General features: G+C 38.7%; 1 protein-coding gene across 5 annotated transcripts in view, besides 2 other annotated features; it reads left to right on the top strand.

Moving 5' to 3' along the window:
- The window catches only part of BTLA (B and T lymphocyte associated), a 35,659-nt gene that overhangs the window by 6,383 nt on the left and 3,066 nt on the right, over positions 1-26,210 (top strand). For 2 of the 5 annotated variants that reach the window (XM_017005748.3, NM_181780.4), the window contains 3 exons: positions 13,473-13,787; positions 21,887-22,030; positions 23,438-23,484. In XM_017005748.3, coding sequence (XP_016861237.1) covers positions 13,473-13,787; positions 21,887-22,030; positions 23,438-23,484 — 506 coding nt within the window. Of the gene's footprint in view, positions 1-13,472; positions 13,788-21,868; positions 22,031-23,437; positions 23,485-26,210 lie in introns of all 5 variants that reach the window. The other 3 variants (XM_047447496.1, NM_001085357.2, XM_011512447.4) reach the window with 2 other exon arrangements.
- Positions 1,069-1,118: a silencer, noted in NCBI's record as "silent region_14604". NCBI's record gives its function as "represses an Ori minimal core promoter by ATAC-STARR-seq in GM12878 lymphoblastoid cells {active_cell/tissue: GM12878}" and the evidence as "EXISTENCE:reporter gene assay evidence [ECO:0000049][PMID:35858748]".
- Positions 19,078-19,578: an enhancer, noted in NCBI's record as "H3K4me1 hESC enhancer chr3:112192511-112193011 (GRCh37/hg19 assembly coordinates)". NCBI's record gives its function as "activates a minimal SCP1, AML or CMV promoter by ChIP-STARR-seq in primed H9 embryonic stem cells {active_cell/tissue: H9 hESC(primed)}" and the evidence as "EXISTENCE:reporter gene assay evidence [ECO:0000049][PMID:30033119]".

Below are 26,210 nucleotides of genomic sequence, written 5' to 3'. Positions count from 1 at the left end.
TTATCCTTGGTCACCAAGAAAAGCTAATAGTGCTTGAGAATCATGCGCTTGAGTTGTATTGTGTCAGTGAATTGTATCATATGCGATTTGCTTCACTTTTCTAATACTCTCCATTCTCTTACCTCAAAATAAGCTCAATATTTTGTACCTTTCTGGTATACTCTCATGGTTATGGACCTGATTTACATGTTTATCTCAATGGAAGAAGTGGCTTGTGTGCAGCATGTGTCTGTGTGTATGCATGCAGAGGTGTCATACAATTTGAGATTCACTTAGAACAGAGTCCAGAAGAGTGTTAGATCAGTCCCAGGAAAACATCAAGTTTAGCTGGCAGAGCTCTTTAATTTCTTTTTTCTGCCTTCTTGATAACCATGTTCATCTTATAAGCACAACCTGGAACTCACACACATCACAAATGGCCTATTATCCAGTATTTGGCTACAAGGGAGGCTGGGGCATTGAGATTTTTATCTGGGGGGTTATGGCCCCACTTCATTTTCCTCTATAATATTAGAAGATGAGAATTAATATTGGAAGACATTTAGCAGATTCTGTCCACATAAGTATTGTTTAGTATCTTCAAGGGCTTTGAAAATGCCAGTGAATCTCAGTGTGATGTCTGTGGTAGAATGTATTAGAGATGTGAGGAAGTATCTGGGAAGAAAGTAGAGATGGACTTTCCCTTTCCAATCATAATACATAAGCCACACTTAATCTGAACATCACAAGTAACAATCCTTCCACTGAAGTCAATATTTAGAAATACTCATGTTGGTTTCTGATCAAATGCCAGAGGCACTCACTGATGCTACTGTCAACAGCTTCTCAGGTATGCTGTCTACATTTGCTGCCCTATGTTTCTTCCTGAAATCCCTGTGACAAAGGTGGAAAATTTAGCCTCTCTGAAGGACAGGGCCTATGTGTAACAGGCAATCAAAGTCTCTCTAAATCATTGTTCTTTAGGACTCATTAAGTTGACTAGAAGCTTTTACTATTCAAGGGCGATAATTACATGTTGACCAACTAAAACCACCAGAAACTCATCCTTGTTACACAGAGTAGACAGGGCTCTAAGGAGTGCAATGCATATGAATCCTCTGGCCTAGAGAAGCAAAGTCAGTGACCAGTAGGGTAGATCTGCAAGGGGACATTTGTGACTTGGCAGAGATGTAATGAAGAAGTCCTGAAAGCAAGCTTAGAAAATTATCAAAGGACAAAGTTTTTTTCAATATTCTAGTTTTGACCAAGGCAAGCCTTGCTGGTTAATATATTTCTGTAGAGTTTCCTCTCCCACATAAAAGAAGAGCATGCTTATATTGGATGTGCTGCCTTTCTTCTCTCTATTATATAGATATATTTTTGCCTGGTGTATATACTAGTTATTATGCACCACTGCTGATCCCTAGAATGGTTGTTGGGGGTAATTTTTCACAGCAGAGTCTTCTGTGTTTCCATCTTGTCTTTACCATTCATAGGCTTTACACCTCTGGACAATGACTCAACTTCTGTGTGATTTCCCTAAATTCATCCTATCAGAAAACATAATAATATCTGGTACTTTATGTTGTTGTTATGTGCCAAGCATAGTGCTAAGAATATTTCCTATATGTTCTCATTTGCTTTCACAACAACCCTACTGGATAAGAGCTTGTGCTTTGGAGTTAGCCACACCTGGGTTAAAGTCCTAGCCTTGACTCTTCCTCCTACCAGCTGGTGATCTTGGGCAAGTGGCTTATATTCTCTAATACCCAGTTTCCTCAACTTAAAAAAATAAAGGCCATAATAGTAATTCCCTCATAAAATCATTGTGAGGGTCAAATGAAACAATACATGTTTGGTATCTAAAAGTGCCTACCTCATAATAAGAACTTTGAAAATATTAGTCATATTCTTTTTTTCCTCGTGTTAAGATGGATCTAGGTTGGGTCTACAGTATATAGATAATGTGAGGTGGAGTGTACCTGTGGGCAAGTGGCAAAGAATGTGTAGCAGTGATTCTAGAGGTGATCTCCTAAATGTAACTTAAACTTTCCATTGGGCATCTGACCTCATGACCTCTAAGGTTCTCTTCTTGTTCTACTCTTAAATATCTCAAGGAGAGGAAATGACATGGGGACTTTGTAAGCTTTGCTAAATGTCGGAAAAAGCAATGACAAATACTAGAATGACTGATTTTAGACAAAACAAGTTCAGAATTATTTCAAACATGATAAAATCAAGAGATACAGAGCTTAAAGTCTTCAGTGGCTCAATACAACTGCATTGAAGAGATCAGTCTTCAAATTTACTTGCCAAATAGTCATACTACACTAACAATGAGAAATTCTAACTGTAGAAGAAATTGCTTTAAAGTGTGCTAATACCATATGAAAGTAAACTTAAAGAAAAATTTCATAAATGAATATAAGAAGATATGTTTTTATAAGAAGGGGATTTTTAAGAGGAAATAATAATAAAAGATGATTGTGAAAATGCTCTCAATTTTCTTGTTTCATGGTTGCTTTTTTTTTTTAAATAATGGGCATAAATGTAGATTTATGCCCTGTGTATTCTTGGCATTAATACTTTCCAGTTCCATTTTTGTGAAGGAAATTTTACATTGTGTGTGTGTGTGTGTGTGTGTGTGTGTGTGTGTGTTTACCCAGGGAGAAAATGGCTCTTCTTGTCTAAAGAGCAATATCAGGTGATATCCACAGAGAATAAGTTAAATCTACTATTGCATACTACATCCTTGTCTGTGATCTGTATTGTCTATGATCTGTATCTTTAGTGTTGTTTTTCAGGAAAGACATATGTAAATAAACTTTCATTTTACAGAAGGGACTGAGGGCCAGTCAGTTTTCACTGTACTCGTGAGAACAATCACAGGGTTTTCCTTAAAGTAACAATAGTCACTTTTACAAAAGAAGCTCTGATTTTAACATATGTTTGTGTGTGTCATACTTACTTAATTTTCTCCAGGTATTCCTAGTACTTCTGAGAATATCTGACTTATGGAGTGGTTTATTTACCACAGAGTTAAAGTAATACCTTTAATAGACATTACATAATACATTAAATGAATACTTTCTATATGAGGTGGAACTCCCCCACCCTAACCTCATGTCACCACATTTCTGATTTTGTGAGTGTATGTGAGCTAGTTTATGATGGGAAAGTATGCTACCTGGGTTTTCTGATGTCGTCCGTGTGATTTCCCAAGGTATGCAAGTCAATGTCCTCCCAAGATCCTTGAAGTATGGTTCCATGGCTGCTATTGCTGTGTGTGGATTTGCCCTGACTATGTACAAACCACTGCCTTATGGGATCCCTAAACTCTAATTTCAAGGGAAGATTTGAGAGACAGATTATTTCCCTTCCCTGGTGGCCATCATCTCTCCCCTCCTCTCTACCATTCCAGCCTTCTAAAGTAAGGCAGAACATACCATCTGGATGCCTTTTTGCTCCTGAGTGTAAAGACTTCATTCCTTCTGTAGCCTCCCCAGCATGCGTCTGAAGTTTTGGTTTGCTTGTTGTTTGTCTGTGATAGTATTTTCTGATAGAAGCTAAAATCCTGGTTGATGTCACAGAAAATTATTGGTTTATTATACCGTTAGTAATCATTTTAGTTTCTCAAAAAATCATTTGTTTAATTTCTATGTTAAACTCTGACACTTTCTTAGCTCAAGTTAAGGCAATCTGCATTCATTACAGTCATTCATTTATTTGAATGGTTGCAACCACTTTGAAGTTTCCATAAATTTGTAAGAATTTTTCAATGGAGACATAGTGAAACTCAGGTGAGATTTTCCTCATGATAATGGTTATAATCAAAACATATGGTATTTAAAAATAAGAAATAATGATATTTTATAAAATATTCATAATCATAACCCTCTTTTTTTTTAAATGGCTGATTGGTTTCAAAAATTACCTACTCTCTTCAGCTCAGCAACTACACTTGCTCAGCTGGGAGTTACGAGACTATACAGTTGTTTGTGGCTGGCACTCCTTTCTGATCAGCTGATCTGTGTAGCTGGATGGCCATGGAGTGTCACTTGTTAAATATTTTTAATATCCACCCCTGAGTGGACATAAATCAGGCCTTTTCAAACTGAATACTTGTAAAGTCTAGCTTTTCTTTGGTAGTTATAACTTAACCACTGTAAGGTATGTTGAGCTGCATATGTTCTTCACCTCAGTGCCTTTTAGCCCACCTCTCTAAGGGCTTAGCTGTCTCTGCTGTGCAACCAGTACTACATAGAAAGGTAACACACCATCAAGGAAGTAGCAGACTAGATAGAAGACAGAAACATGAACACATATGTAGTTATAAAGAGTGATGCATGTCGGCTGGGTGCGGTGGCTCATGCCTGTAATACTAGCACTTTGGGAGGCCAAGGCGGGTGGATCACAAGGTCAGGAGTTCAAGACCAGCCTGGCCAACATGGTGAATCCCCATCTCTACTAAAAATATAAAAATTCCCCGGGCGCAGTGGCAGGTGCCTGTATTCCCAGCTGCTCCAGAGGCTGAGGCAGCAGAATTGCTTGAACCCGGTGGGTGGAGGTTGCAGTGAGCTAAGATCGCGCCACTGCACTCCAGCCTGGGTGACAGAGCGAGACTCCGTCTCAACAACAACAACAAAAAAGGAGTGATGCATCTCACACAAAATAGCATCAGACATTTGCTAGGGAGTGGGGATATGAGGGTATGGTAAGTTTGCATAAACTTACTGGGCTAGGCCCAGTGCGGTGGCTCACGCCTGTAATCCCAGCACTTTGGGAGCCCGAGGCGGGCGGATCACGAGGTCAGGAGATCGAGACCATCCTGGTTAACCGGGTAAAACCCCGTCTCTACTAAAAATACAAAAAATTAGCCGGGCGTGGTGGTGGGCACCTATAGTCCCAGCTACTCAGGAGGCTGAGGCAGGAGAATGGCGTGAACCCGGGAGGCTTGCAGTGAGCGGAGATTGCGCCACTGCACTCCAGCCTGGGCGACAGAGCGAGACTCTGTCTCAAAAAAAAAAAAAAAAAGAAAAAAGAAAACGGAAACTGTGACAGTGATGTGGAGAATTGAGGTGGAGGGAGGGAAACAAGGCCAAGTTTGGAATGTAGAAGACCATTTGGTACGCTGTGACAATAATCCACATGAAACAGAATGAGATCCAAATTAAGGCAGTGTCATGGAAACAAATATGGAAGACATTTTCCATCCTGAATCAATTGAACTTCATGGCTGATGGAATGGGACGGTGACAAGGAAGGAGACTAAGATGGCTCCCCAGGTTCTGGCTAATGTGATTAGGTAGATGATGGTATTATACTGTGATAATGAGAGGAGGACCAAATTTGCCTGGGGGTTGGCTTGGAGGAAGAAAGAGATTTATCTTCCCCCATGAAGCCTTTCCTGATTGACCCAGCCAGAAAGACTGTCTTCCTCTTGAGGGATCTGAAAGCTCTGAGAGATTATATCATATCCAAAATAATACAACAAAAATCTAATGGCAAAATTGAAAAGTGGTGTAAGACTTTCAGCCTCTTCTTTGTGCTAGAAACTGTCTCGTTACTAATGTGTCAAGGACAGTGGGATATCCAGACTCCTGGGTGTGAACAAGTGGCTCCATTGTCTGTATTGAATTTAAAAACAACTAAAAGTTGATTTCCTTTTTTTTTTTTTGACACAGATTTTCGCTCTTGTTGCCCAGGCTGGAGTGCAATGGCACGATCTCAGCTCACCGCAACCTCCGCCTCCTGGGTTCAAGCTATTCTCCTGCCTCAGCCTCCTGAGTAGCTGGGATTACAGGCATGCGCCACCATACCCAGCTAATTTTGTATTTTTTAATAGAGACAGGGTTTCTCCATGTTGGTTAGGCTGGTCTCAAACTCCCGACCTCTGGTGATCCGCCCGCCCTGGCCTCCCAAAGTGCTGGGATTACAGGCATGAGTCACCACGCCCGGCCGGTTTCCTTTTAATTATCACCACATACTAGCAAACATGAACAATGTCAGAGGTGAAATATTTACCCTTCAAAATATTTTTGGTCTAAGTTCTAAATACTATGGTTACTGTTGAGTTTTATGATATATATGTAAACTTCAAATTAGCACATTTGTAGTATATATCATTTGACAAACATTGCATTCTACTTGCAAGTTAACTCAGAGAACTTCCCAGTTATACAGCTGGCCTTGGACATATACCATTCAGCTACTTGTGTTCATTTTGATAGCAAATTTATAAAGTCCAGGATCACTCCAGTTTCCTCCAAGGACACTTTGTGTCCTCATCTCTGTGGTACTACATACTCCAGCCTTTCAACATTCAATTTTAAATAAACAATAATACCACAGAGAATGCTGAGACAAAGAAGCAGAACAGGAGCTGTTTCATTTTTGTCATTTGGTGCAAACTTCTTGAATTTTTATTTGTGTTTAAAATTTAAAACAGTGAAAAGGATACAAACTGTGATATATAAAATCTTCGGCTTGGCAACTTTATTTCATGCATAAAATGTTAGATTGATTAATATTTTTACAATTGAAATTTTTTTAATGTTGTTTTAAAACTAACTTTAGAAAATAAAACTTTAGTGTTACAATTTAGTAGTTACCTAAATTGTATCTTTGCAGAATTTCAGTTTTAATACAATCCATTTATTAGTTATTGGACAACTATTTACATAAACTATTATATCAGACTATAACTAAAGAATCAAAGTTCATACTGTTTAGGTGGATATAAAAATGATTGAATAAATACCTGTGCATTTTTCTTTTTTTGTATTTTAATTTTTTTAAAACATTTTTTCATTTGTATGGTTTTATACATGAAGTTCAGCACAAGAAAATATTCATTGTCTATATTTCTTTTCTGGCCATTTTATTACTTGTTTTATCTCATGATTATTTCTGAAAATATTTTTATGTATAGAGAAAGGGGTTGCTCAAATGATGTACTCTAGACCTAAAATAAAATATCATCGGTACCACCTGATCGTGGAATATATATACCACTAGTGGTTTTGATAAAAATTTTAAACATGAAAGAATTTCTAAACCTATAGTGACTTAACAAGGGATATTTCATTATATAAGAGCCTGGGGGGGAGTAGAAGTTTTTATTCTTTGTTTGTTGGTTTGTTTTTTGAGATGGACTCTCGCTCTGTCACCCAGGCTGGAGTGCAGTGGCGCGATCTAGGCTCATTGGAAGCTCCGCCTCGCGGGTTCACGCCATTCTCCTGCCTCAGTCTGCCGAGCAGCTGGGACTACAGGCTCCCGCCACCACGCCCGGCTAATTTTTTGTTTTGTATTTTTAGTAGAGACGGGGTTTCACCGTGTTAGCCGGGATGGTCTCTATCTCCTGACCTCGTGATCCACTCGCCTCGGCCTCCCAAAGTGCTGGGACCACAGGCGTGAGCCACCGTGCCCGGCCAGAAGTTTTTATTCTTTTACTGCATGTATTTATTTTAATCATTTTTAGCATTGAAAATTTCCTGTCATCAGATATGAATGCTTGAGAAAAACAGCAGAGATAATAAGAGCAGGAATAAAAATAACTGATGGTTCCGGCTACTTGGGAGGCTGAGGCAGGAGAATCGCTTGAACCCGGGGATGGAGGTTGCAGTGAACCGAGATCGCTCCATTGCACTCCAGCCTGGGCAACAAGAGCAAAACTCCGTCTCAAAAAATACATAAATAAAAAATGAAATCAAATAACTGATAATTGGAAGTTGAGTAACAGCCAAAAGCAACTGTGATAGTTATTCCTCTTCGGGAAATATTTATTTGATAAGACAAACTTTTGGGGGATAGCTTTGTGTGTCCTAAGTATCATAAGATGGATATGCATAATTCAGAACAGGCAGAAAAGGGGTGTTAACAAGCTTGTCAGATGGACAATTAGAATTGTGCTATTTGTCGGCCAGGCCGGTGGCTCACTCCTGTAATCCCAGCACTTTGTGAGGCAGAGGCGGGTGGATCACCTGAGGTCAGGAGTTCGAGATCAGCCTGGCTAACATGGCGAAACCCCGTCCCTACTAAAAATACAAAAATTAGCCGGGCGTGGTTGTGGGTGCCTGTAATCCCAGCCACCGGGGAGGCTGAGGCAGGAGAATCGCTTGAACCTGGGAGGCGGAGGCTGCAGTGAGCCGAAATTGCATCACTGTACTCCAGCCTGGGCAACAAGAGCGAGACTTCATCTCAAAAAAAATAAATTAATTAAAAAAAATAGAATTGTGCTATTTGTCTCAGTGTGTCATTTTTACACTACAAACATCAGTGTTAGCCTCTGAGAGATAGGAGGTATTATAATACCTTGTTTGTGCACAGAGGGAGTACTCTTGATTTCTAATGCCTGCTTGCAAGCCTACATTCATCATCGGTTCATTCCTCCATTCAAGAAAAATTCCTGTGCCAGTCAGTGTGGTTGTCAATGATCATTATCCTGCTGATAAGAATATTTAGGAACTGCAATGTTTCCATAATCCTATTGTGAATCAGTGATGCCACCAACACAAAAAGCTAGCTCTTTTCTCCACCCCTAACCCACTTTGCGCACTGCTCCGGAGCATACAGTCACAAAAGACAGAACTTGAAGTGATGTCTAATTGTGCCACTAACATCAAGTGATAGCCCTATGGCTAAATAGAAAGGTAATATATTGTGATAGGAATAGAAATTGCAGGCTAGAAGTGGTTTCGTAGTTTCAGTCACACATTAAGGAAGGTGAAGTTGTGTGTGTTTGTGTGGTCAGGGGATGGTGAGTTAGAACTTTCCTACTTTTACAGTTCAATCCTTTCATCTTATTTTGAAGAAACTGAGGACCAGCAAAACTGGGGGACTATCAAATTCGCTCAATGTGTTAGCATTTGAAACAGACATGTTCAAATGAATAGTCTCATTTGTAGCTATTTCCGTGCCCTTTATAAATATCCCCCCAAAATTAGGCATTGTATTTTCTCATGGTGGATAAGCAAAGTTTAAACTCCTGCCTAATGCTTATTCCATTTGTTCTGAAACAACCAGTGGTCTCCATATCACTAAGTCAGAAAACCATGATCCAGTTGTGTATCAATGATCTAAATCTATCATGAGATTCCTGGTCCCTAAGACTTTTCCGTTCCATTTCCTCACTCTTAAAATACCTCCTCTGTCCCATGCACTGCTCTGATTGCCAAAGGGCTACTCATTCACCAAGGTTCAGCTCAAGTATAGCCTTTCCATGAAGCTTTGCCCCGGCTGAAGTTAACCTTCTGCAGACCCATGCAAAGTTGTTTGTATCTTTTTTTTTTTTTTTGAGACAGAGTCTTACTGTGTTGCCCAGGCTGGAGTGCAGTGGCATGATCTCAGCTCACTGGAACCTCCAGTTCCTGGGTTCAAGCAATTCTCCTGCCTCAGCCTCTTGAGTAGCTGGGATTACAGGCACGCACCACCACACCTGGCTAATTTTTGTATTTTTAGTAAAGACGGTGTTTCACCATGTTGGTCAGGCTGGTCTTAAACTCCTGACCTCAGGTGATCCACCTCCCTCGGCCTCCCAAAGTGCTGGGATTACAGGCGTGAGCCACCATGCCCGGCCTTGTTTGTACCTCTTTACAGTGTTATATAACACTCTCCCAATTGCCATTCATTTTTATTTCCCATTAGAAGGCAAGCTCCACAAATGCAGACATCCTATCTGATTTATTCCTAGGCTTCCTAACAACCAGCATGCAACGTCCCTCAAGGCTTGCTTTCAGCTCAGTAAACTGAAAGAAATAAAGACTGGTATATAGTAAATTGATTCTAGAAAAGTGTCTAGAAGGTAAATTGATTCTGGCCAGGTGTGGTGGCTCAAGCCTGTAATCCCAGCACTTTGGGAGGCCGAGATGAGCTGATCACCTCAGGTTGGGAGTTCAAGACCAGCCTGACCAACATAAAGAAATCCCGTCTTTACTAAAAATACAAAATCAGCTGGGCGTGGTGGTGGGCGCCTGTAATCCCAGTTACCCGGGAGGCTGAGGCAGGAGAATCGCTTAAACCCGGGAGGCAGAGGTTACGGTGAGCCGAGATCATGCCATTGCATTCCAGCCTGTGCAACAAGAGTGAAACTCTTGTCTCAAAAAAAAAAAAAAAAAAAAAAAAGAAAGGTGCCCTCTTTGTTAGATACTCCTGGGGCTTACCAATTAAATGGTAAACTCTTTGAGGGTAAAAGATCTTTGTCTATAACCATCTCATTGTTTTTTATAATTCTAGCACAGACTTAGAGGCTCCATAAACCATTATTGACTTATCCAAGAAAATGAAAAGGGAAGTTAGGAGGCTGAGGGAGTCTATTAACTTCAGGGAGAGGAACGGACTTCTGGAAACAAGAGTTTCACTTGACCTTTCTGCCTCTGGCCTTCTTACTTTTTTTGTCCTAAGTCTAACCACATTCAGGTACACTTCCTTTTGGTAAAATATTTTACCCTTTCTCTTCATTTTTTTGAAAACCTCATCCTTATAACTTACCTTTCAGTTTGGTTTCATTTTAGTTCTAAACTTTTGGAAGCAACTGAATTAAGAAGTCTTAAAGTGAACTTGCTTGAGGTCTCAAAGCAATTATAAATAAATAAATATTAAGAGGTTCTAAAAGTTGTCTGCAGGTCCTTTTTCTCACTCTGATTCCTGGAAACTCAATCAGGTTTCTATTATTCTGAGCAGAGATTCATGAGATGTGAGCAGGAAGGGTTTTTAAGTAGGATGTGAGTGAAAGGTGTATTAGGTGTGAGGAAATAGATAAAATGAGAATATTTATGCTGGCAAGGGTGTAGAAATAAGGTGAAACCTTGTTCTGGATAGACATGTATGAGAAACTCAGGGTCAAAATTTGCTCCTTGGTTCAACATCTGACAAGCTGTGTGATCACAGGCAAGGCCTTTAGCTGTCTTTGTATTTAAAAGAGAGTTTTGGCTATCATCTCTGTTACACTTATGTCATTCTAATGTATGATACTGTACATCTATTCAGAAGAATGCATGAAAATGAGTGAAATAAATAAATGAAGGAGATGAACTAGACATTGCTAAGAGAGACGGTAGTTCAAAACATAGAAAGAAAGGCTAAGAAAGAACTGTAAGAGTGGAGAAAAAAATAATTTAAAAGAAAATACTTTTAGGATCACGTGCTTAGCCTTAACTTTACTGGAAAATAAAAAAATACAAATCAACACCAAGTGCATAACTAAAAGGAAATGAGAAACAAGCCATTGGAAACTGGAGTAAAGGCCATTCTTGTCATACAGTTGCTAAGAACTTGGTGGAAATGTATCTATGTCTTAGGACTTTACGGAAAGCAGAAATTAAGAGCAATAATTCAGGATATCTGGTGGAAGAAATATCTAAGCCGCAAAGCATTTAGGCTGCTGTGTGGCTACTTTTAACTGCATACAGTAAGAGGCAGGAGGGAAAAAAATGACTTAAAAATGGAATTTATAATTAAAAGAGAAGCAGAATAGAAAGATTTGGAAAATTCACTGCCTAGCCATATAAAAAGTGAAAAGGCATGAATGGGAGAAAATACTAAGGGTGTGGCCTAGTGACCATTGTTAAAGAGATTAATATGGATAGAAGGGAGTGAAGTACTATTCAAGAAGTTGAGAAAAAGGCCCTGAAGGCATTTCAAAGCCTTTGAGGCTGCCCCTCCCATCATAGGCTCAGAGCTCAGAGGGCAAATTGATTTCAGGGGAAACTAGAATGCCCTTTACAGGCTTGCTGCCCAGATCTGCCTCAGGTTTCTGTTCTCTGAATTCCAGCACAGTGCTCCTTAGCTGCTCCAGCCATGGCTCAAGTGAGCCCAGGTGCAGTTCAACCCACCACTCCATAAGGTGCAATTGGTAAGCCTTGGTGGCACCCACTTGCTAAGTGTGCAGGCTAGCAGAATGCAAGAGGTGTGGAACACAACTTCCTCCATGTAGATTTCAAAGGATGTTGTGGACAGCCTGAGGGCCCAGGAAGAGTCCACTCCCATGTCAGTGCCTAGTAGAGCCATGGGAGTGGACTGCCACTGAGACCCCAGAACTGTGGAGCTATTAGCCTGAAGCATTAGCCTGGGAGAGCTGCAGGTAGGAGTCTCCAACTTGTGAGTGCTGAAGCATCAACCAAGCCCAGCAATGCCATTTTATTTCTCTGTTGGGTTTTGGACTTACTTAGGAACTGTTACTTTCTCATTTTTGCCTATTTCTCCCTTTTGGAATGGGAATATCTATCTTATATCTGTCCTACCACTATATTTTGGAAGTAGATAACTTGTTTTGATTTACATGATCATAGTTGGAGGGAATTTGCTTCATAATGAATCGTGCCTTGAATCTTACCCATATCTGGTTTAGATAAGACTCTGAATTTAGTGTTTTGAATTGATTCTGCAATAAATTAAAACTTTTGGGGCTATTGAGATGGAATGAATGTATTTTGTATGTGAAAAGAACATGAGTTTTGGGGGACCAGGGGCAGAATGCTATGGTTTGAATGCCCCCTCCAAAATTCATGTTGAAATTTTATTGCTATTGTAACAGTTTTGTGAGGTGGAACCTTTAAGAGATCAGAGGTTATGAATGTATTAATGCCCTTATTGTAGGAATGGATTCGTTATCACGGGAGTAGGCACCTGATAAAAGGATAAATTTTGGCCCCCATTTTTCTCTGTCTTGTGTGCTCCCTTCCACTTTCTGCTTTCTGCCATGAGATAATGCAGCACAAAGGCCTTTGCTAGATGCTGGCACCATGCTCTTGGACTTCCCAGCCTACAGAGCCATGAGCCAAATAAAACTTCTGTGATTCAAAAATTATCCAATCTCAGGTATTCTGTTATACTAGCAGAAAACAGACTAAGACAGTGTCTCATGTGTCCGTGTGTAGAGACCACCAAACAGGCTTTGTGTGAGCAACAAGGCTGTTTATTTCACCTTGCAGGCGGGCTGAGTCCAAAAAGAGAGTCAGCAAATGATGGTGAGATTATCATTAGTACTTATAGGTTTTGGGATAGGCAGTGGAGTTAAGAGCAATGTTTTGGGGGCAGGGGGTGGATCTCACAAAATACATTCTCAAGGGTGGGGAGAATTACAAAGAAACTTCTTAAGGGTGGGGGAGATTACAAAGTACATTGATCAGTTAGGGTGGGGAAGAAACAAATCACAATGGTGGAATGTCATCAGTTAAGGCTATTTTCACTTCTTTTGTGGATCTTCAGTTGCTTCAGGCCATCTGGATGTATACGTGCAGGTCACAGGGTATATGATGGCTTAGCTTGGGCTCAAAGGCCTGACAGACAGAGGATTAAATGATTTATTTCATTTTTTAAACATATTTATTATATGCCTAATATGTATGAGACATTCTGCTAGTAAGGCTTAATTACTAGAAATTGGGGGGTTGTTTTTGAAAATTACCAAATAATGCTTGAGAACTATTGAAGTCACATATATATGGTACTTCCAGAAGAACATATTTGATTTTAGTTTTGTTTTTATCTTTTAGGGAAAGAATCATGTGATGTACAGCTTTATATAAAGAGACAATCTGAACACTCCATCTTAGCAGGAGATCCCTTTGAACTAGAATGCCCTGTGAAATACTGTGCTAACAGGCCTCATGTGACTTGGTGCAAGCTCAATGGAACAACATGTGTAAAACTTGAAGATAGACAAACAAGTTGGAAGGAAGAGAAGAACATTTCATTTTTCATTCTACATTTTGAACCAGTGCTTCCTAATGACAATGGGTCATACCGCTGTTCTGCAAATTTTCAGTCTAATCTCATTGAAAGCCACTCAACAACTCTTTATGTGACAGGTGAGTTCTCAACACCTAGACCATCTGATATTTTTCTTATAATGTTTCCAGGAAGAGGGGGGTTCAGTTTCTCAAGTGATTATGTTAGAAAGCCAACTCCTATAGCACATCTGAAATCTGCTACACCTCACAGATTGTTATGTGCCAGTGTGTACATATGTGTGTGTATGTGTGCGTTTGAGGTGAGTGAGATAGAGGAGAGTAGAGAAATAGATAGTAAAAGTTATTGTTTTTGACTTTAGGGATTATAAAATTTATTTGATAAGTCCAAAAGTAGACCACTGAAATATTGAAAAAATTATAAAGTGAATACCTATAGTTGCGAATAGCTCTGTGATTGCTTGTCCTTCTTTGTTGTTTTTTTTTTCTCTTTTTCCCATTTTTCTCTTCTTTACTTTTGTTCATTACAATTTCTTGAAGTTATGTTTGTGGTGCTTAGGCAATTAAACACTTCTTAATAGTTCACAGTTTGTTTAGAGGAAAAACAGCAAACAACTAACTGACTTCCTAGTGATTTTCTGGGAATATTCAGAGCTTCATCTCTCTTCCCTGTTCCCCGAAAGAGGCCTTTAATATGCTTTGACAACTGAGGAAGGACAGATAGAAGTTAAGCTTGGGGAAACCAAGCTGAATAAAACATGAAAAAATACATAGGGGGGGAGTAGGTAAGAGTAAAAAATACTTGGTTTATAAAAATTTTATAGCCAACATCATATTCAATGGTGAAAGGCTTAGAGCTTTCCCCCTAAGAACAGGAACAAGACATGGATCCTTGCTTTTGCCATTTCCATTTAACATTAAACTGAAAATTCTAGCCAGAGCAAACAGGCAAGAACAAGAAATAAAAGATATCTAACTTAGAAAAAAAGAAGTAAAACTTTATTCACAGATGGCATGAACTTATGTGTAGAAAAATTCTTAAAAATTTGTTTAAAACTATTAAAGCTAATACATGAATTTAGCAATTCCACATGATACAGGATCAACACACAAAAATCAGTGATATTTCTATACACTAGCAATAAACAATCCACAAAGAAAATTAAGGAAACAGTTCCATTTACAATAGCATCAAAATGAATAAAATATTTAAGTACAAATTTAACCAAAGAGGTATAAGAGTTGTACACTGAACAAAGAAAGCATGGCTGAAAGAAATTCAAGAATATGTAAATAAATGCAAAGACATTCTGTATTCATGGACTGAAAGATGTAATATTGTAAAGATAGCAATATTCCCCAAGGTGATCTACAGATTCAATGCAGTTCCACTAAAATCCTAACAGCTTTTTGTTGCTATTGCAGAAATAAAAAAGCTGATCCTAAAATTCACATTGAGTTGCAACAGACCCAGAATTGCCAAAACAATCTTGAAAAAGAACAAAACTGAAGCTAAGACTTCCCTATTTCAAAACTTACTACAAAATGACAGTTAAAAAAAAAAAAAAAGAATAGTATTGTCATGGATAGACAAAGAGATCAATGTAAATAGAATTGAGAGTCCAGAATAAACTCCATACATCCGTAGTCAATTGATTTTTGATAAGGGTACCAAGATTATTCAGTGGGGAAAGAATAGTCTCAATAAATGGTGCCAGGATAATTGGATATTCATATGTAAAAGAATTAATTTGAACCCTCATCTCACTCCATATTTTAAGCAATCAAAATAAGTCAGACATTTAAGTAGAAGAGCTAAAACTATAAAAACTGCATTATATAAAACAATAAAACTCTGATTTCTTAGGAGAAAACATAGGGATAAATGTTTCTGATCTTGGATTTAGCAGTGTTTTCTTAGCTATGATTACAAAAGCATAATCAACAATAACACCAAAAATAGATAAATTGGACTTCATAAAAATTAAACACTTCTGTGCATCAAAAGATACTAAAATTCAACAACAAATAGACTGGCAACCTAATTTTAAAATGAGCAAAGGACTTGAATAGACATTTCATCAAAGAAAATATACAAATGGCCAATAAACATATGAAAAAAATGCTCAATGTCATTAGTTACTGGAGAAATGCAAATCAAAGTCACAGTGAAAACCCACTTCACACCCATCGAATGACTAGAATAAAAAAAAAAAACACAGAAAATAATAAGTGTTAGCAAGGATGTGAAGAAATAGAAACCCTATCCATTGCTGAGGAGAATGTAAAATGGTGCAGTCACTTTAGAAAGTGGTCTAACAGTTCCTCAAAATCAAAAGATAAAACCTACTTGTCACAGTACCCAGTAATTCTATTCCTAGGTAAATACTCAAATGAAATTAAAATATATGTTCACACAAAACCTTGTTCCTGAATGTTTATCACAGCACTATTCACAATAGCCAAAAGGTAGAAACAACCTAAATGTTCAGCTGATGAATGGATAAAGGAAATGTAGTTTATCCACACACGGAATATTATTCAGTCATGAAAAGGAATGAAGTACTAATGTATGCTACAACATTGATGAACCTCAGAAGCATTACGCTAAGTAAAAGAAGAAAAAGGTTACATACAATGTGATTCTGATTATATGAAATATCCAAAATAGGCAAATCCATAGAGACAGAAAGTAGCTTGGTGGTTGCCAGGGGCTGAGGAAATAAAGAATGTGACATGACTACTAAATAGGTAGAGGGCTTCCTTTTGGGGTGATAAATATGTTCTGAATCTAGATCGTAGTCACGTTTGCAAAACATTGTGAGTATCTTACATGCCATTTAATTGTACATTTTAAATGATTAAATTGGTAACTTTTATGTTATATGTATTTTACCACAATAAAAATATATTTGGATCAAAGAAGAGTGCCCTTTAATTATAAGAAATAATGTGGAGTTTCTTTTGTTGCTCATAAATTGACCCTTAAAGTTACTGGGAAGGAGAAATTTCAAAAGAGGGTTATTGCAATAGCAGCATGGCTGAACTCTGGATGCAACCTCGTACAGTTTAGTTCCTTTATGGACATCATTCACTTGAATGCATACATTTTACAACTGATCTTTTTAAAATTAATTTGTTACTTTATATGCTTACTTTTGAGTGTCTTTCAACTCCCTTAAAGTAGCCCAGTGAAGGAATCCATTGAAATTCTTTTAAAATGCTTTAGGTTAGTTTAAAATTTCTTACAGCAGCACCATGAAAAAATGCATAGCAGTTTAGCAGTAGCTACAACCCTCAATTATGAAATATAGAAGAAATCGATGGCAGAGTTAGGGACTCTGCTTTTGCAAATATAGCGTGAAGCTCGGTGCTAGTTACTTGTGACCATCCATGCACTGGCTTATAAACCTCTTCAGGATGGAAGCTGTGTCTTAAACATCTTTGCTCTGTATGATGGATGGCAGGGTACCTGGCACATGGTAGGGGCTCACTAAATATTTCTTTGTAAATGAATTAAAGAACATAGTATATGCAAAGCACAAAAATTGTCTTCATCAACCTGGAGAAGGCTATATTAAGGATGTATGGAATGAACACTTTCTGGAAAGAATTGCATTATTAATTCACATTAATGAGACAAAATATTGAATTTTTAACAAATACTATTTTTTAAACAGGTAAAATAAATTACAAAAATAAGGAAAATCTGCAAAATATTAATTCTAGAATGATATATACTATTGAATAAATAAGTGCTATTAACTAATTTATATAATATATTAACATAATGTATAATAAAATTAAATTTTGAGGCATTGAGTCCACCTTCCTTGGAAGAGAAGCCTTGTGTAATTCAGTCTTTCTTTATGGGAACTAATCTACTTCTATACGAGACATGAATTTAGCCAAGGTCAGATGAAAGGTCAGAAGTTAATAATTAATTGTGATACAAAAGTCTGTTACACAAAAGTAGCATTGCAATTTCTGCTCTATCCCATATTTGGGTCATTCATGATGACTAAAGATAATCTGTAGTTTGTAAAGTGCATAAAGGTGCCTGTTCTAGGGATCAAGTTGGGGCTGAGATTAGGATCAACAATCTATCTATTTTGTGGAGGAAAGAACCCAACTTTAGGGGAAAGGGAATAACATTCCCTCCTAAATCCTGTGCCTTGGGGGGTTTTATGGAACAAAGTATGTGAAGTATGAAGTGGTGAAAGAGAAAGTCTAAGAGCTAAATAGGAGACATGAAGGGCCTTGTCAGTTTCTTTTTGAACATTTCTACTCTCTTAGTTTCCTACTCACCTATCCTTCCTATCACTCCCTTCCTTATCAGTTTGTTAATTAATGCTCTTGATCCTCATGGAAAATCCCAGAGAATTTTCTTTGGCTTCCTACTCTTGTCTCTCCACAACATTCCACTCTGTGATGTGTTTCCTCCAATTGCTTCTATAAGCATCTCGCACCATCATTATCTTCCTTCTAAATAATTCCAATTAATTCTATGATTGGACTCTTTGTCTTTAGTATTTCCCCATTTTGGTCAATTTCAGCCAAATACACTTAAATTACCTCATACACTTCCTTCATAACAACACTCTCTTGCATAGCATCCCCAGTGGTCACAATATTGGGCTCATCTTTGTTAACCAGCATTCAAAGTCTTCCACAGTTTGATCCCACCACCTTTCTAGATTGTTTCTGGATTCCATATACAGCCTCTCAATTGCAGCCTGACGGCCTTACTTGCCATAACCACATCTCCATCATTGCCCTGTGTATGCTGCTCTTGCCACTTGTAGAGCACCCATTCATCTGTCTCCACCTATGGAAATTCTACCCCTCCTTTCAATCTCAGCTAATTTTCCAAGTTCTTAAGGAAGCTTTTCATGATCACCTGAGGGGAAGGGATCACTCCTTTTTACCAATTTTTATGCCATTTAAGTCTGTGCCTCTCATTTATCATTTCCTTTCACTGTAGTAATGTGTGGAAATGTCTTTTAGGTCCCATGAAAGATTATAATGTCCTGGAAGGCTGGAATTTGTGTAATATTTCTTTTTTTTTTTTCTTTTAACTTCCTTCACAAAAGGTAAATTGTTTAGGAATTAACTTTAATTTAAACTCTGTGTGGATTTAAAACTAATTTAATCTAGGTGTGCATTTTTCTTTAGTGAAGTGGTGAAAACAAAAATAACAGGGAGGGTCAAAGAAAAATTCCTTTTCCTTCTGAACCTGAAAGTGCTCAGTGAACTAAGTATAAGGTGAGGAGAAAAATATATTTTGGAAATATGTTTAAGGACCATGCTTTTCATAAAGAAATTTTGGAGGTCTGATAAAAAATATTTTATTTTTTCCTGTGAAATATATTTCCGAAGTGATTTTGGACATTTTCTTGTTTTTATAAGTGACTTTCTTTTGCTGTTTATGTTCAAGTTAAAAGTTCATGTAAGAACAGGACTGTGACAGAGTTGGGGCTTGGATGCTCTTGGGAAAGCACTATTCTCCCAGAATGAAGAAAAGCACCTTGCACAACAAGCCAAAGTCCTAGGGGAAAAGTTGACAGAGCTGGGGAACAGCCCTTGAAACATCCATTGGCCTGCCACTTCACCCTTCCCAAACTTCCCTTGGTCAGTTTCAGATTAAGAACTTCCCCAAGGCTGGGCGTGGTGGCTCACATCTGTAATCCTAGCACTTTGGGAGGCCAAGACGAACAAATCACTTGAGGTCAGGAGTTTGAGATCAGCCTGGTCAACATGGTGAAACCCTATCTCTACTAAAAATACAAAAAATAAACTGGGCACGGTGGGAGGCGCCTGTAATCCCAACTACTCAGGAGGCTGAAGCAGGAGAATCACTTGAACCCAGGAGGTGGAGGCTGCAGTGAACCGAGATTGCACCACTGCACTCCAGCCTGGGTGATAGAGCGAGACTCCATCTCAAAAAAAAAAAAAAAAAAAAAGAAGAAGAAAAAAAGAACTTCCCCAAAATGTGATCATTATCTGTGGCAGGAAAGTGGGTGTGGAGTGAGAGGGCAGGAAGTCCTTGTGGGCTTCCACCCTGATTTGGAGCACCTGCTGAATGTGCCTCTTCTTATTCCAGGTGCCAGAGATATCATTGTGCAGACTATACTGTGTCCTTATGCTTAAGGAATGGGGAAGAGGTGATCAAAGCAGACAGACAAAGATTGCGTTGTATTTACAGTCTTTCAGTGAGCTTCAAAATAAGCCCAGATATTTACTTTGTGTCAATGATCGTGGGGTTGATGTTCCACAAATTGTGCTTACTGATCTTGAGATAGATTGTTGGATTCTCTGGTAGTGTGCAAACACTGGAATCCTCCCCAAGGCTAGCTCTGGTTTTGGACACGTGAGAGTACACCCTCATCATTTTCTCAATCAATTTCAGTTATTTACCTTGTTTCTCTATTTCAGAACAAACTCAAAATAAGTTAGGGGGAGTTTTGAGTTTGTTCTGAAATAGAGAAACAGTTTGTTCTGAATTAGTTTTATTTGATCAAACTAATCAAGTAAAATTAAGGAAATTAGGTTTTTTTGGTGGTTAAAGAAATAACAGAAGTTGGATCTTCTTGATCCAGCAGATCTGTTTGTATTAGGGTATCTGTTGTAGAAACCTTAGTCCCCATTGCTATCCAAGACCCTCCCCCAGGCAGCTGTTTCTGGCACTCCTGGCAGTGGTTTGGCTGCTCGCTAACCTAAACAGCAGCTGCAACATCAATAGACAACATTTGTTACCACTCTGAATAACCAAACCACTTTTTGTGCAACTTCAGTTGCCTCTAATCATTTTTACCCCAAACCTAAGCATCTAGCCAAACAAAATAACATTATAATATAATTAATAGAATTTTTTTTTTGTTTGAGATGGAGTCTTACTCTGTCACCCAGGCTGAGTGCAGTGGTACCATCTCGGTTCACCGAAGTCTCCACCTACCGAGTTCAAGCGATTCTCCTGTCTCAGCCTCCCATGTACCTGGGATTACAGGTGCATACCACGCCCAGCTAATTTTTGTATTTTTAGTAGAGACGGGGTTTCACCATTTTGGCCATGCTGGTCTCGAACTCCTGATCTCAAGTGATCCGCCTACCTCGGCCTCCCAAAGTGCTGAGATTACAGGTGTGAGCCACCAGGCCAGACCTTAGAATATCTTACTCCAGTATTTTTCATACTGTGTTAACTGTAACCCAAAATTAAAAAAAACAACAACAACAACAACAACCAGATCTTACATCACAACCCATAATGCACACAAATATAAAAAAGTTTCATAAGGTCATACTTAACCATAAGACAGAGTTTCTCCATTGACACTTTGGTCTGGATAATGTTTTGTTGCACTAAGTGGGGGTTGCATCCTGTATAGTGTAGGGTGTTTAGCAGAATCCCCGGCTTCTACTCACTGGTTGCCAGCCTCCCTCCCCCTACCTTGTTACAGCCAAAAATGTCTCCAGACATTGCCACACATGTTCCCTGCTTGAGAACCACTGCTCTAGTGTGTGTGATGCATTCTGATGATTTCTATCCTCTTCTGTTTCATTTTTTAAAATGCTATTTGTGACATACTAAATTGTTTCACAACCTGCTAATGAGCTGTGAACAACTGCAGACAAACAGGGCCTCAATGCGTATTAACATTGATCAATAGTAATGCGCATTAGCTGTGTGCCATGCAGAGCACTTTTAAGGCTATCAAAAGTATTTGATATTTGGAGATTCTGATAAGTTACGAGACAAGGAAAGGACATTGTGTTGAAGAAACTTGAATTTCCTGTTACAAACATGTTGGCTTGAGTTCCCATTGCCACTCACTAGCTATCTGACTTGGAGCAACTCTTGGGACAAAATAAAGACAATGGTTTTCCTACTTAAGTGATGAATATGAGAGTTAGATACTGTAAATAGAAAGGCTTAATGAAGTACCTTCTGACAGTTATCATGAAGATTGTTCTGTGGAAGATTAACTCTATCAGAATAAAGAATTTCTGCAAAAGATAAATTATCGCAGAGCCACGTCTGCTCAGCAAGAAAGCAAGAGGTGGCTGAGGGCACTGGGATTCTTGAGGAATGCCTCTGAAGGGGAAATGGAGGCATTGGCCTGAAATCTCCTTCACTCAAGTTCTGACAATGCAGAGGGGTGCCGCTGATCCCAATATATCTCAGATTTCCTAACTCTCTTTAGCATTTACTAACATTCCAGATGTAAAAAGTGCCTCAGAACGACCCTCCAAGGACGAAATGGCAAGCAGACCCTGGCTCCTGTATCGTTTACTTCCTTTGGGGGGATTGCCTCTACTCATCACTACCTGTTTCTGCCTGTTCTGCTGCCTGAGAAGGCACCAAGGTGGGTTCTATTTTCCCTCTGCCCCCAGTACCACACATTTGGGGCCATTCTTATTTCTGGGGCTAAAGGATTTTTAGTTTCTTCCTGTTGTTTTCTTTCCCAATCCTGTAAACCATGGATAATGATTTCCTAGAAGACAACTCATATTTGCGCTAAAAAGCTAAATAGGTTGGTTGGGGCTCCCTTGAGTCACGGGAGAGGCATGCTCACCACGCACAGTATTCCAGCTAGAGTTGTGGCGAGCATAGCACATTGCTGAGACTTCATCATTCTCTTTGCATCAATCTTAGGTTTGTGTGAGAAAGAGCTCTTCTAAACCTTAACAGGATTGGAAGTTGAAACAATCTCTCAGATCAAGATATCTGCTTTATTTTGTATTATCCTCTTTTCACAGCCACACCACATCATGCCAATCCCACACACACCCTTATGTAACTGAAGAACCAATGTCCCCAGAGAAAATTAATATGTCTGTATTTTCTATTGCCATTATAAACATATGCTTGACCTGAATTCTTACCCAACAATAATGCATATGAAAAATGTGGGTTTGGCTATGATGGGAATGGTGTGATATTTTGAAAATAATTCCTTTCTACTTTTGCAAGAACTCTCTCAATGTCATGACCAAATATGTTAAGTAAGAGAGGAAAGCATAGAGAATTCTGATCTAGCTTTGGCCTGAACTACTTCAGTTTTCTCTTTCCTTTTTCTTCTCCTCCATCCTCTCACATTCCTGTTTTCACAACACCAGCTACAGTGTAGCTATAGAAACTGAGCTAGATAGAGCAACACTTATTCTGTGTGACACAGGAATAACCTTTGACTGGGCAAAAGTGCTTCTGGTATTTTGGAGTGAGAACTTCTGGAGTTCAGAACCTTCTCTGGATTCTGAAGAATTCTCTCTTACCCCAATTCTTCATCTGCAACTCCATGGCTCTTTCTATGGCCTCTCTGTATCTTTCATCATCTTTCTTGAGACTGCTGGAACCTCTCTCAGAACTTCAGAAAAGGAGTCAGGGATAAATCTTTTGATTTACCACATCCAAAGTGAACTAGGTAGTAGGAGATCTTGGCTACATAGGTGACAGGACAGCAGCATTTCTGGCATTGAGTATGGAATGTCCCCAGAGCAAGGACTTCCAGTCTCTTCCAAGTGATATACTAGATCCCTCCCCTTCCTTTTAGATATGCCATGGGGCTATGTGGACTGAAAAGTGATGAACCAGAGAGAGAGCTGGTCAGTGTGAATTATCACAAACAAGTGTGTGCTAGGCAAAGCAAATTAACAAGCCAAAACTAACAACACTATCCCTGGCATTCAACAGGATAAGCATGGGTGGCAAGGTGGTTTACTTCTGCTTTCTTTACTCCTTTTGATTACTTCTTTTTCTTTTTGTCTTCCAGGAAAGCAAAATGAACTCTCTGACACAGCAGGAAGGGAAATTAACCTGGTAAGCTTGATGTAGCTGTTGAAACAAATGCAATTTGTGTTATACTGTGTTTATTTATTTATTCAATGAATTTATATAACACCATGTGCCAGGCATTATTCTATGTACTATATATATATATATATATATATATATATATATATATATATACATAGACCCATTTTTAAAAATGTGAATTTTGCATTCTGCTCTCTATGCAGCAAAGACTCTTTAGGGTTAACAAGTCTCGTAATAAGTGGTTCTTTGGAAGTTCATGGAAGGCAGTCTAGATCCAAGACAGAAAAGTCAGAGACTGAACCATACAAACTTGACTCTGCTCTTGCCTGTTATGTGGCTTCAGGCTATTCATTTATTTTTTATGTAAACACCTTAAGGTCTTTCTGGAAGAGAGTAGGGAGCTGATGAAAGAATGAACCCACAAATAACCTCATAAAATGATTAGATATCTTCATAAATAGCACCAGCAAAATAGAGACATGATCTTTGGCTTAGTTATTACACAGAGGTCCCTGGCAATGTGTATGGGCTCATCAAGGAAGGGACCACTCAGACTAAAGGAAGGGAATTTTGGAGTCAATCTTTCCTATAAGGTTTGGAATGTAAATGTAGGCTTTTCTTTTGAGTTGAATGTTGTGGAGATATTAGAACTAAAAAAGAATGCAAGATGAGGCAATATATTTGTGGAAAAGCATTCTGAAGCTCTCTAATTAAAACTAAACAGTCATAAATGAGATACTGCAAAGGAACTTGATGTGTGTGTGTGTTTCAATAAGGAGGAATAGTGATAAAGAAGTAGTAACCCTCTTAAAAATTCCACAAAAGACAAAATCGATACAGCCAATAATTCTATATATAATATTAAATGGCATTCAACATTCCCCACCAAGCTGCTTAATTTTAAACCAGACCAAATACACTCAACTTGACAAACTTCTATTAAGTTTTCATTAGCATCAGTAGGCACTGTGTAGGGTGCTAAGGCTTTGTTCCCTCAAATAGGGAAATTTTCTTAAATATTATTTTCTTTCTATAGTAAATAATAATAAAAATTTCACTTGATTACAATAAGGCCAGGGAGCTATGAAATTATTTAAGATAAAAATCTAAATAATTTACTGTGCAAGTAAAACCCAGGTTGGTTAAGCTGTGGACATTGTTCTTCCTGGGTAGGCTGGATAAATTATGATTTGAAGCTTAATTCAAAAGGGTATTTTCTGTATGTGCAATTGTCTGGGAAGTTTGTTTTAAAGCGTTTTTGCTATTAACAGGAATTTGAAGATTTTTGCCCCATTTCAGTTGTCTAGCATTTCAGAAAATAATCAAAAGGATACCATATTATACCCTTGGGGCTAAATATTTCTTAACATAAAACTAGTTTGGGAACTGTGGAGAAATCAAAGTACAGAAAGGAACTGGTATAAACATGACAGGAAAGGAACTGGTACAAATGTAACAGGTACATATAAAAGCCAAAGCTCTGATCTTAATCCAAAACGGTCCTTTGAGGGTATAAAGTGCTTGCCTAATAAAAACCACTGAATTGTACACTTAAAAGGGTGAATTTTATGGCATGTGAATTACATCTAAACATATACTATAAATACAAATTTTAAAATGCTTTGTATACTGTAACCTGCCATAGGAATGTAAGGTGGGATTGCTGTTTCTGGCTTTATCATCTCTATCCACCACATTGTGGTGCATTGGCCTTGTGGCACCCAGCCACTTTGACGGGGTGCCACAGCAGGGGTGCTGCAGAGCACTATATTTTCTTTTGCTCCATTCATTTTAACAAAATTTTTCATGGAAATGAGCCATTTCTTGGGATGAGAGACAGGGAACCCAATTGACAGGCTTAAACAGATTGAAAAGTATCACAGGATCTTTGTTGATATATTGAGGACTAAAGGCTATTTTTCAGTTCACTTGACAGTCTTCTTTAGTGTGCCACCTACTGACCTCAACCAGGCTCTTTTCAGTGGAGTTGGGAGTACTTTTTATCTTAGCCAAGCAGCCTCTGCCTCTTTCAGTCGCTCAGCCTTACTGTTATTTTTGGGCAGCCACCACATCAGAGGGTGGCACTGTATCAGGAATTCTTACATAGCTTCTCAGGGTAAAGCCAGACATGCTTGCATGATAGAGCTCTGCCAAGGAAATCTGCCATAGACATCCTACTGCACACATCACAATGAGGATGACAAAGGACCAGACAAAGTATGTTGACTTTCAAAGACAGTGGACTTGATACCTTAAAGGAGTTAGGCCAGATGTCAAGAACGGAAATCGATGGGCAAAACTTGAATTTAAAAAACTGAAATAGCCCCTAGAATGAACACATCTTCTTTGTCAGGTGAACCTTTGTATAGGTAGGAGCGGCTAATAAATAACTGAAGAGTGAGAAAACATCAGGACTAATTTTACTTTTTGTTTTTACAAATTCACCTCTTTCTTAGAAGCTCTAAGATATTTGGCTATATTTGAAACGGTAAGAATTTTCTTGCCGGGAGTGGTGGCTCACGTCTATAATCCTCGCACTTTGGGAGGCCGAGGCGGGCGGATCACGAGGTCAGGAGATCGAGACCATCCTGGCTAAAATGGTGAAACCCCGTCTCTACTAAAAATACAAAAAAAAATTAGCCGGGCGAGGTGGCGGGCGCCTGTAGTCCCAGCTACTCGGGAGGCTGAGGCAGGAGAATGGCGTGAAGCCGGGAGGCGGAGCTTGCGGT

This window comes from Homo sapiens, chromosome 3 (assembly GCF_000001405.40).
Source record: "Homo sapiens chromosome 3, GRCh38.p14 Primary Assembly".
NCBI classification, from domain to species: Eukaryota; Metazoa; Chordata; class Mammalia; order Primates; family Hominidae; genus Homo; species Homo sapiens.
Note: the sequence above shows the minus strand (reverse complement) of the source record. Positions and strands in the feature narration are given on the sequence as shown.